This window comes from Homo sapiens, chromosome 2, assembly GCF_000001405.40.
Source record: "Homo sapiens chromosome 2, GRCh38.p14 Primary Assembly".
NCBI classification, from domain to species: Eukaryota; Metazoa; Chordata; class Mammalia; order Primates; family Hominidae; genus Homo; species Homo sapiens.
The window spans coordinates 188,760,070-188,773,249 of record NC_000002.12 but is presented as its reverse complement, the minus strand read 5'-3'; the positions used below and the strand labels follow the sequence as shown (position 1 = coordinate 188,773,249).

Below are 13,180 nucleotides of genomic sequence, written 5' to 3'. Positions count from 1 at the left end.
AGTACAGCTGACTAAACACCTAGCCTATATTATACATCCTGTGGCTTTTAGGCTACAAACCTGAACAGCATGCTATGTGCTAAATAATGTAGGCAATTAGGACACAATGGTAAGTATTTGTGTATCTAAACATAGAAAAGGTACAGTAAGAATATAATTTTGTAATCTTATGAGACTACCATGGTATATGCAGTCTGTCATTGACTAAAATATCATTTCATGGCATGTTACTACATTAGTTTAGCCGCTTCTGCTTTCTTTCAATTAATGTCTGCAAGATATTTAATTTTTCCTAATTTCTTCAACCTCACTTTACCATTTTATTTGAAGTTAGTTTTTTGTAGGTAGCATATATTTGGATCATATTTTTAAATCTATCCTGTCAATCTTTGTTTTTTAACTGGTTCATTAAGACTTTACATTTATTATAACAATATTTAGCACTGTGTCTGCCATTTTATTTTTTTCTTCTGTTCTTTCTGATTTTCATCTCTGTTGTCTTTTTCTTACCTTTCTGTGTGCTACTTGAACATTTTGGAGAAACCTATTTTGATTTATACTGTTTTTGAGTGTGTCCTTTTGTATAGCTTTTCACTGACTACTCCAGTTATTACTATATATGTATTCACACACTCACACACACACACACCTCATATGCTACTGTTGTCATTTTACCAACTAGAGCAATATGAAGAAACCTTATATTCCTTTATGTTCCTTGACCCTTTCTCATTTATAATATAACTGTCTTAAATATTTTTCTCCACAGATATTTAGAACCAAATCAGACAGTGTTATTATCGTGGTGTTTATTGTCAAACATAATTTAGAAAACTCAAGAGAAAGAAAATCTATTGTATTTAGCCACATTTTGCTCTTTAAAGATAGAGTAGCTCCATAATCCTAGGAGTTTGTGCTACACTGCTATTATTTTTACCAAGACTCCATTGAGCATCCTTATCTACCACACACATATCTAGCACCACTGGATGTGCCATATCTACAACCTGAGTGGTTGAACAACATGTATGGCATCCTTGACTTGCTAGTTTCTTCTATTGACAACTTTAGGATTCACTTGATAAATATGGAAGAGAAGTGTCCCCAAATGTACCATATACTGCCTTCAACATCCTCATAAACTTTCAAGTGGCATGCCCCTTTCTTAGTAATAAGGGGTGAAAGAGGCAATAACTTGTATTTAACTTCACAAAGGAGCATTCTAGCATACTTCTGACACCCAAAATGTTGACTAATTTAGCAAATGACTGAATCCTCATGGAGTTTATATCCTACCATTTCCATGTTCATAAGTATCTGACTAGGGCATACAAAATACTTACCACATACTGCTTATCATGTTCAGTTAGCATGATATCATTCATGCAGCAGACAAGGATGATATCCCACAGAACATTAAAACAATCAATGACCCAACAGACTATATTGTGACAGACCACAGGGGTGTTACTTTAGTGATCAAGATAGTGAATGTGCACTACTTTCTTTCCCATAAATTAGCAAACTACTTTCAATTCCCTTTATTGATAAATTTGAAAAGAACAAGTGTGAAAGGCTGGGCTGATATGCCACAATAGTACTTCTTGCTCAGCTACTTCTATTAGAGCTACAATGCAGTTAACTTTAGAGCTTCCACAGTCTACCTGGTTTGGGTTAGGGCTAAATAGATCAATTGAGTGGACCTATCATGGAGACTCTATCCTGCTTTTTTAAGTCTTCAGTAGTATTAGTATTGTTCTAATTCAACATCTTTGTCAGGTCAGGGACTGTTGGGTTCACACTGGTCACAGTGGTGGTCATTGTGTGGTACAAGGGCTCCCATTTGGCCTTTCCTGGCTTAATGGCTCTTACTCCAGCCACCAAAGAACCAATTGAGTGTTCTACAAGACATCATTTAAATCCATCTCATGTAAACATTCTGGGATGGGGAAAATCACTACAATGTGGTTCAGAGACACATTGAACTCTCCTTACATCACCCGGTATTCACAAATCTGTAATTCAACCCAAGGGAAAGATGGGGTTCGGGATTCTCTGGTGTCAGTTACAGCTTAGAATCAGATACAACAGTTCTCAAAAATCTGGGAGTTATTTGTCTTCAGGTAACAATCATTCTGGAAAATGGCTGCAAGCCCCTCTGCGGAGTGTATTTGTAGTATTGGTTCAAGCATCAGAGGGATGTGACATCTCATTTAACCAACGGCTGCTGGATAAGAAAACAGGCAAACTGATTCTCATCACAGGGACTTTGCACATGACGTTTCCTCTGCATGTAGCATATCTGCTGTTACCCACAGTTTTCTTTCCTTAGTTAACTCCCAGTTGTATTTCATAGTTCACCTTCTTAGGGAAGACTTTCTGGGCCTTATAGGTCAGGTCAAACACTCTTACGTTACATTCTCACAGTCTCACACACCTAATTCTCCATAGTATCCAAGAATATATTTATTGCTATATATAAAAAAGCATATATTTGTATGATGCTAGTTTGATTAATGTTTGTCTTTCTCACTAGATTATAAACTCCATGAAACCATGATTTGTTTACCATGCCTGGGATTTAATTAGCGTCTAATTAATTTTCACGGAGCAGAATAATAAATGGCCTAATTCTGAAAACATAAAAATTTGCACATGACTAAATCTGGCAGAAACCATCACTGAGCATAGGCACCTCTTTAAAAATCACGTTAGCTCTTTCTTATTCCCCTTTCTCAACGTGGCTGTGGCAGGCTGACCAGCCAGCTTTGTTCCAGCCATGCATGTCCACTACAACACTTTCACCCACGTTTCATTTAGAAGAACACATTCTACCCAGCTTTGGACCTAAGAGTTACAAGAAATCTCAAAACTGTTCTTGTTAAGTTAAAAACAGATTCTTTAAATTCAAATGATGAGAAGTAAAAATTTTTTAAAAAATAACATATAACAAACTCCTTTCCCCCTGACACTATGCTTTAGGTAACCGAAATACAAGTGGAATAGGCTGAGTTGGATGTTTATTATAAAAGTCATAATCCTATATTATAAAAGTATAGTAATTATGTACTTCTGTATAAATGTGATGCCATTAGCAGTGAGAGTGTTGCCTGGTCACTGTCTAAGTTAATATCAAGAACTGAGAAATGAGTTAAATTCAGCATGGGTGAGAACATGAATTGTTTTGTCAGTCTGATTTTCCGACACATCTCCCATGTTTTCCTTTATCTTTGTTTTCCTCCTTTCATTTTTTTTTTAACTAGGATTTAGGCTAGATTGTAGCATTTTGGTGGATATTGTGCAGCATATCAAATGCATCTGAATAATTAGCAAGTCTAGGAAATTGCTTTTAAGTAAGGGACTATTTATAAGTGAGGGTGGGGAAATGAATACTACTTATAAATAATATGATCCTCTATTTAAAGTGTCAGGAAACTTATTTTGAACGCAGACCAATGGAACAAAACAGAGACCTCAGAAATAACACCACACATCTACAACCATCTGATCTTTGACAAACATGATAAAAACAAGCAATGGTTTATTTAATAAATGGTGCTGCGAAAACTGGCTAGCCATATGTAGAAAGCTGAAACTGGATCTCTTCCTTACACCTTGTACTAAAATTAATTCAAGATGGATTAAAGACTTAAATGTTAGACCTAAAACCATAAAAACCCTAGAAGAAAACCTAGGCAATACCATTCAGGACATAGGCGTGGGCAAGGACTTCATGTCTACAACACCAAAAGCAATGCAAACAAAAGCCAAAATTGACAAATGGGATCTAATTAAACTAAAGAGCTTCTGCACAGCAAAAGAAACTACCATCAACAAACTAACACAGGAACAGAAAACCAAACATCACATGTTTTCATGTATTAGGGGGAGCTGAACATACATGGACACAGGAAGGGGAACAACAGACACTGGTGCCTTTCTGGGGAGGGGCTGGGGAAGGCAGAATATCAGGATAAATAGCTAATGCATGCTGGGCTTAATACCTAGGTGATGGGTTGATAAGTGCAGCAAACCACCATGGCACATGTTTACCTATGTAACAAACCTGCACATGTAATCCAGAACTAAAATAAAATAAAGGGCCCTAGACCTTGTAAAAAAAAAAAAAAAAAGAAAGAAAGAAAGAAAGAAACTACCATCAGAGTGAACAGGCAACCTACAGAATGGGAGAAAATTTTTGCAATCCACTTATCAGACAAAGGGTTAATATCCAGAATCTACAAAGAACTCAAACAAATTTACAAGAAAAAAACAAACAACCCCATCAAAAAGTGGGCGAAGGATATGAACAGACACTTCCCAAAAGAAGACATTTATGCAGCCAACAGACACATGAAAAAATGCTCATTATCACTGGCCATCAGAGAAATGCAAATCAAAACCACAATGAGATACCATCTCACACCAGTTAGAACGGTGATCATTAAAAAGTCAGGAAACAGGTGCTGGAGAGGATGTGGAGAAGTAGGAACAGTTTTACACTGTTGGTGGGACTGTAAACTAGTTCAACTATTGTGGAAGTCAGTGTGGCGATTCCTCAAGGATCTAGAACTAGAAATACCATTTGACCCAGCCATCCCATTACTGGGTATATACCCAGAGGATTATAAATCATGCTGCTATAAAGGCACATGCACATGTATGTTTATTGCAGCACTATTCACAATAGCAAAGACTTGGAACCAACCCAAATGTCCATCAATGACAGACTGGATTAAGAAAATGTGGCACATATACACCATGGAATACTATGCAGCTGTAAGAAATGATGAGTTCATGTCTTTTGTAGGGACATGGATGAAGCTGGAAACCATCATTCTGAGCAAACTATCACAAGGACAAAAAATCAAACACTGCATGCTCTCACTCACAGGTGGGAATTGAAGAATGAGAACACTTGGACACGGGAAGGGGAACATCACACACCGGGGCCTGTCATGGGGTGGGGAAGGGGGAGGGATAGCATTAGGAGATATATCTAATGTAAACGACGAGTTAATGGGTGCAGCACAGCAACATGGCACATGTATACATATGTAAGAAACCCTCACATTGTGCACATGTACCCTAGAACTTAAGGTATAATTTAAAAAAAATTTAAAAAAAGAAAAAGATCTCTCTTTGTTGTATAATTATGAGAAGTGATTTTCCCGTTCTTAAAAACGGGAGACCAAACCAGCAGTCTTGCAGAGCTGTGAAGAGATGTATGCTCCAGTGGGTAGATTTAACTTCATATCAAATTGTGTCATCTATGTGTTTGTGTCTACTTATGTGTTTTAATCTGGAAAGGCCTTTCTTGAGAATTAAATCCACATTTTGCTGTTTTAACTCATTTTAAAATATTGTTAAACAACATTGAATATGCTCATATCAAGGATATTTTTCACATAAGGTATGGTGACTATTTTCCACAATTGTTTTATATTTTAAATTTCACAAATTACCATCATGAACTTTCTATCATAACTTTGGCATTCAGCATTTTTTTGTTTGCCAAAATGCAGAATTTACATGGGGGAAAAGTAAGTGAGAGGTGGCCACCACACCAACTCTGATTCTCAGAGCACATAGGTCGTACAAGGCTGCCAAAAAATTCTGTTTACGCAGTGTTTTCTCTCAACTGTTTAAAAAATTTCACAAAAGTGGAAGGTGAGATTTAATGTAAAATTAATTATGCCAATGGAAATTTTACCACATTGACAATAAAACAGCACATGAAATACCAAGGACATTGTAAGTTATTTTCTACAGACTTTAGTGCACACTAGGAAAAATCTCATGGACACATATGTAAACTATCTATATAGAGTTCTTTTCTCTCTCTTCTTCAGTTCACAGTTCAAAGTCTTCCTCTGCCAAATTCTGTAAAGTAGTAGAGAACAGCTTGTCTTCATTGTGTGGATGGATAATGGAACACGTGTTAAAAGCCATTTTTATTCTTGGATAATTAATTTAACAATAACTTGTTTATGTATGTTTCTTTTAAAACCACATTAACATTCTGGGTATATTTGTCTCAGAAAGTTGATGGGAATATGAAGAAGAGAGGTATTCTGTAAATATATGGAATTGACATATTCAAACAGGTAAAAGTAATTCTTCTCATCTAAGCCAACTGATGAGTAAGAGAGAAAAGGGCTGAAAGAATTTAAAGGGTGTGAAAAAAAAAACATGGACAACAAATGTTTGACATTATGCAAATGTTCACTGAGTAAAGCAGCAACATGCAGGAAAAATTCTGGTTCTAATAAAATGATATTTAGACAAAAGGAATTATCATTGGATGGAAAATGTATTGTTTGAATTACTTAAACTTAACAAATAAGAAATGTCAAATGTTTTAGTGGCTATTAATAAATGTAAAAAGGTTATATAGAGAGACTTAATGAATTACGCAAGTCAAACCAAAAATTTTCTTAGATTCACCATATCATTAAATTTTGATTCAAAGTGCTGAAAATCTGATTACGTATTTAATTCTGGCTAGATGTTTATAAAATGCACAATATGTGTTCTTGTTAAGAAAGTGGCACCATTGAATGACATAAGCCAGAGCTTCTCAATCTGCTTGTGCAATAACCCGGAATGTCCAAAATTATTTTCAACAGCATCATAGAAATCTCAAGCCCCACTATCCCTTAAAGATTTCAGAACAAAGTAGATCTTAATTCATTTAATCTTTTTTGAAATCACAAATACTCTAAAGAAAGGATATTTAGGATGAATGAGTATCATGAAACAAAAATAACCTCCAAAAAATTAAGAATCACTTTTTTAGGCAATAAATACAACCACTGAATGAGAGACTTTACTCATTGGTAAAAATTCTCCCAGAGATTTGGTTCATGGTTAGCCAGCACCTCAGAAAGCAAATTTTCTTATTTCTAATGAGATAGGAATGTGGCTTATTTTTCTTTTATCCTTCCAAGACCACTAATTATATGCATTATCTATTTCTTCTAATTGAAATCAGATTTTAGCATTTGACAATTCCATGGAAAACAATGGGAACAAATGCAAAATGGGACAATTTCTATTTTGGTTTAGTAACATAGGGATACAAATTACATCAACTTCAAAACATTTAATATTCAGTTCTGAGTAAGGCAACTTGGAAAGTAAGGCACATTTACATTTCAGTTCAACTATTTAACTAATATTTAATGAATCTACTGTGAAAAAAGTACAATGCTGAGCAGAGAGGAGATTGCAAGGAAAACAAAACAACCCCTACTGGGTAGTTTTCCAAATAAATTGAGACATTGAACATAATCACAAAACTATGATAGGATGATAAAACAATATGACAGACTCAAATAAAATCCATTGGTATTCACCGGAAAATAACTAGCTCATCTTTGAGGCCGAATAATATTTTGGCATACAGAAATACAGAAGGCAAGGCATTCAGATAGAGAGAATGGAGTCAAGTATTCACATGTCATGAGTAATTTATAGAGTAGTTAATTGTTCAGTGTGTTTGGTACACAGCCAGCACTAATGTTAGATTGTGGCCCCCTTGTGGGGAACTTTGAAGGCTAAGATGAGAAGCGTGGACCTCATTCATCAGGAAAGCCAATGGAGATACTAACAGGCTAGTGACACAACAACATACACATGCTTTAGAAGAATTAATTTTTCAGCAATATTCAATAGCTGAAGTTGGTAAAAGATGTAGGCATGAAGGTGACTTCATAATTTTAGGCCACTACATAATACTAAAGAGAGTAAAAAGAGACTGAAATATGGGGCTGACAGCAAGAATGGAAAAGAAGGAAGACACAGGAAGGAAGGAAAGGACTTTTTTTGAATGATATTTCAATACACTTCTAAAATTTAACACTGACAATATATTTCAATATTAATTTACTTAAGTTGGAAATCTATCAGTAAATCCTAATAATTAAATTAGTGAAAATACTTAGAAGTGAGAGTTTTTTATGTGTAATGTTACAGCATTAGTATGGATCTATTCATGTTTTAACTATTCATTTTTGATAAATGTTAGCAATGTGTTTTAGGTTTATAATTCCTAATTTAAAAATTCAATATCCAGTTTAATTAGAATGTGAATGAATGAGTTAAAGTTTAACTAAGAAAGTAGGAATAAACATAATTTTATCAGTAATCAATGTACAATATAATCAATCAATATGTAATTATTGAAGACTTACTAAATACAAGCTATTGTACTTTTACATAATACCTCTGTAAGAAATAATTTTTTTAAACAAGAAGAGACCAAATATTTACATAACAATATAATTTAAACAATAATAAATGCAACACTTCATGTTATGTCATTGAAAGGAAAAGTTAAAAACTCAATTATGCAACAACCCCGAGAAATAAGTGACGTCGGGCAAGTTAATGTTCTATAAAACTTTGTTTCCCCTCCTTTTTAAAATGTAAACCTTTCTTGGTAGAACTATTCCCCCCAAATATAGAATGTTGTGCCTTTTTCTCAAATCATTTTACTGTGCTGCATAGAAAAAGCTAGAGATTCAGTTGTGAATGTGGAGCATTGGACTAAATAATGACCCTTGCTGCCTTGTGATAATGTTATTTTCTCTTATAGTTTTCATTACTTTATTTCTCATTTGCTTTGTCATACTTTTCTGCTTGTGGACTTTCCCTGAATTTCTATCATTATAAGATGTTATTGACCAAATAGGGTCTGTCTTTCCAATCTTTTGCATTGGATATAATTGGTATTCTATTTTTTCTTCGTTGCATTTGTTATTGCTGAATACTAAGGAATTGCTTGCTTAACCACCAGAGACCTTCTTCTCAGCAAGTTTTCTCCTTTTGAACTTGGGAATCATATTATGCAAAATAAGTAAATCCACTATAGACCCCACTAAGGATATTTGTAAGAACTAGAAGATAAGTTTCTTGGAAATGCTAAAGATCCTAATGACCTTCCTCTCTGCAAAAGTTAGACTTATATTCCATGTACTTCACTTATTTAATAAATTGAGGGGAATACATTTTTACTTCTTCTCTTTATTATTATTACTATTTACTTTATTTTTTAAGCTAAAATGTTTTAACCAGTCATTCTCGGAAATTAGATAATGACAGTACTGGGCTTGGAAGCGGGGTCATTGACATTCAATCTCATTCTCTTCAGTGGGAGCCAATGTTCCTTTTTGAGTTTCTGCTTTCTCAGTTAAGTAAGGAGCAATTCATTTTTAATTACCCCTCTGTGATTGACTTCTAGCAATTATAATCAAGTTCTGGAACCCAACCCTTGACTAATGCAAAATTTTTAAATGAACTTAGATGAATTAATGGTGAGTCTGAGACCATGAGTTTTGCTTTGAGCAAAGCTACTTAATGTACTATGGAGATGAAAACATTGACCTTATTCTTATTAGTACTCCATGAGAACTTGCTCATTTAGTCTGAATAATAGGTTTCAGAATGATGTAAAGATTAGTAGAATATCAAGGATTAATGTGTTCTTGACATAATTTTAACTGACTTTTTAAGAAAACTAATAATGGTTAAAGCAAAGAGAGGAATAAGTAACAGAAATAAAATGTAGTTTCTAGAACATGAGTTACAAAGTGGAAGTTAACCAAATATTAATTTTTTTATTAGCTTAGTCATTTTGAGAACCATTTCTCAAACATTTTTGGAGCAAAAGTTAAATATTGAAAAATGAATTAGATAATTTGTATTTTATATATCTTTAGAACATATTTACTTTTTATATAAATTCTTATGAGATTCTCCCCCGTTTTAGATTTCAATCTGAATTTACACGGCTGATTATCATTGTACCATATGTGTTTACCAAATATTAGTGCCACTTTTTTTCCTTCTCCCAGCAACCATGGTGATATTTTCATGCATTTATCATTGCACACAAACAAAATTCCTTAGCATGATCTTCAAGAATCTATACGAACCTAGCACCTGCCTACTTTTCTCAATCTTATGTTAGATTCTTCACATACTCACTATGCTCCTGAAGACTAAGGAAACTAATGAGATAAAAGGACTTTCAGAGTCACAAGGCATGGAGGTAAAATGATCTTGAAGCTCACTGAAAACTGAATGATTTGGGGTTGGGGGGCACCTCTTATGTGACAACAGATCTCTCAGTGGTATCAGCCAAACCTTGGGGCACCATTGGTGGTAATATCTTTCATGAAACAAGAAGAGTGTAATTATTCTGTTATACACTTGGTCATTTTTGATGGTCATAATAATCATAATCAACCTAGTACACTGTGAACAGAATTTCTTGTTGATTATAATAATCATAATCATTTGAATTGATTGACTTTAATACTCACAGGAGTTCTTTGGGGTGGGTACTCATCATTTTTTACAGATAAGGACACTGAGGCTCTGAGAGGTTAGTGATCTTCTCAAGTTCACACAGTTTATACATGGTAGGACTGGGTTACAACCCAGATCTGGGTGACCCAGAGTGCGTGTTCTTACCCACCGTACAGTACTGCCTCACTCCTATAGCCTCCTATGGAAAGAATTACCAGAGCACACTCAGAAAATGTTATTCCTAAACATATAATATTAAAATGTATCTTTTAGAGACTATTGAATATTTCACATCCAACCTTTTTTAGAAAATTTCAATCTATTTTGTGAACTAAAGTGTGAACTTTAGAAGTAATGCAATTTTGTGTTTGTTTGTACCTCCATTTTTTTAACATTTATAACAGAGTATGATCCTAGATTCCTTTAGGAATGAAATAGAATTGTTTTTTGCAAAAATAGTTACCTATATTTTATTACTATTCTGTACTTCAAATGCACTTCCAGTTACCATTAAACATCATAATTCCCACATTTAACATCTGGATAAATACATATAGGTTCTACGCCAAAGAGCTTTAACACATGGAAAAATCCACTTGGCATTCACTAACAATTTCCATTTCTTTAAAATTGGGCTTTGCTTCTCTAGTAAGCAGAGATGAAAGACTGTAATTAGCTAATTTTTTCTATTCAATGTTATATTTGCTATTTTGTTTCTATATTAATTTTCCCTCAACACGTCTGTTGTCTCTATTTTTGATGAAGAAGCTCTTAATCCTAATGGTATTTAAGTACTGATTTCTTTTCTTTATTGTGTATAAAGAAGCGTATGTTTACTTTTGAAACTCCATTTTTTCTGTGTTATTTCCCTGGTGATCTCTGGCCTATTAAAGCATATATTATATTATATGCAGAAAAGGATGATGAGCTTGCTCATACAGACTACCAGAACAACTCCTGCTAAAATAGCATATCCATTTATATTTCAGTAAGTAAATTGGTGCCCCTGAAATTTCACAATTTAGTGTTACATCTAAAATTAAAATGGTATCTGTACATTTTAAACTTAATAAGTTAAATGATACATATGACATTAATGTTTGAGGAGTAAAATAAATTCACAAAATTCCCATACATTGTACTTCATTTTACTTTACTTGCCAATTATTGTAAAGAAAGTCATTGTGTATTAAGAACCTACAGAAGGCTTCTTTTTACACAGGAATTTTAATAATACATAATTAATTATCTAATTAATATCAATTTTTCAAAACCAACCACCAAGAAAGTGAAAGCTATATGTTGATAAAGCGATAAGACCAGGCAATTATTTCTGTCAATTGCAGCTTAAATCTGAATCATTTTCTTTGAAGACTAGCGCTTTTACATCATTAGTTTAATTTTTCTCCCTGTATTGCAGATACTGTGTTTTCTCAAAGAGATCTCATATGCTCCCTTGAATAGCCTCTGATTGAAAGGCTCATGTTTTTGCAAAATACACTCTTTTGTGATATGTTTTAGATTTTGTTCCTCAGTTGACAGCTTCCTGTCCAAAATTGTCAAGAAGAACATATAAATATTGCATCACACAGAGATACTTGCTAGTATAATTTCCCTGAAAAATAAACCAACCGAATATTTGATAAGTTAGAAGTTTTAATCACTAAGAATGGTTTTTCCTCAGGTTACAATAACCTTGGATGTTGGAATTATGCACTGATCTCTAAATGATGCATAGTTATGGGGCTCTTTAATAAAATTGGAAGTAAAAGATTTATATTTGACATTAAATCTCTATGAACATTTTGCCAACATAGATTTATTGGCATTCAACCTTCTTTCCTTTATATCTTTATTAGCAAAATTCTAGAAAGAGTACTGAATAGAAATGTTCACCTTGCTATTAAACTCTGTTTTACTAACAAACATGTACCTGGATTTCAATGACAGATACTGTTGGAAAAGCACTATTTGTTTTTGAATTATGAACTATGAGTGTTAAGGCCTTTAGTTGCTAATTGTTGGCTTTCATGTTATCAAAATTATATCCTTCATATAAGACTTCATATAAGACTTTTTTATTATCACTGAAATTTGATTAAATCTATCTGGTTGAAGACAGTAATTTTTCTGTTTCAAGTAGACAATCATTATTTTCTTTATATCTCCATTTCCTCTTCTCCAACATTTTCCTTATAATTGTTTTCACAAGCTGTAAGAAGGAAATAACTTTAATAATTTTAAATTGGCTTATTCAGTATTGATGATGAGTAACAGGGGATAAGAATTGTCATTTAGTTCACTTGTTGATTAAATATTTTTAGACGCCAATCTACATTAAAGCAAATAATAAATATTTGATTTTTAACATTCAGCTTTGGATAACAACCCACCACACAGAATAACTACATTTCAGGTTTGAAACAGAGTCCAACTGTGAGCTGAATATGTTGAAGCTCTCATTAAGCTTCATTATTCATTAGTCAATAGAACAATTAAAATAAGAAAGAAAATTAATTTTCTTTGTATTATATGTACTTTTATTTATACATAAAACTCCCATTGCTCCTCAGTCAGTTGTGTGGATACAAGTTTTTATCTGCTATGATATTAATTTTGCCTGAAGAACTTCTTTTAATATTTTTGTTGTAGGTGTTTATTGTTATAAATTATCTCCTGTCTGTTTGTTTGAAACAAGCCTTCTCTTTTATTTTTGAAAGTTATTTATACTTGGTAAAGTATTCTGGGTTGACCTTTTCTGGTCTGTTTGGCATTTTAAACATGTCACTTCCTCTGGTTTCTGTAATTTTGAATGCAGTCTTGAGAAGTCTGCTATCATTCATAGACATATATATATATATATATA

General features: G+C 33.4%; 1 long non-coding RNA gene across 1 annotated transcript in view; it reads left to right on the top strand.

Annotated features, from left to right (window-relative positions):
• Positions 1-13,180, top strand: part of DIRC1 (disrupted in renal carcinoma 1) — a 56,386-nt gene that overhangs the window by 16,874 nt on the left and 26,332 nt on the right. The window lies entirely within an intron of this gene.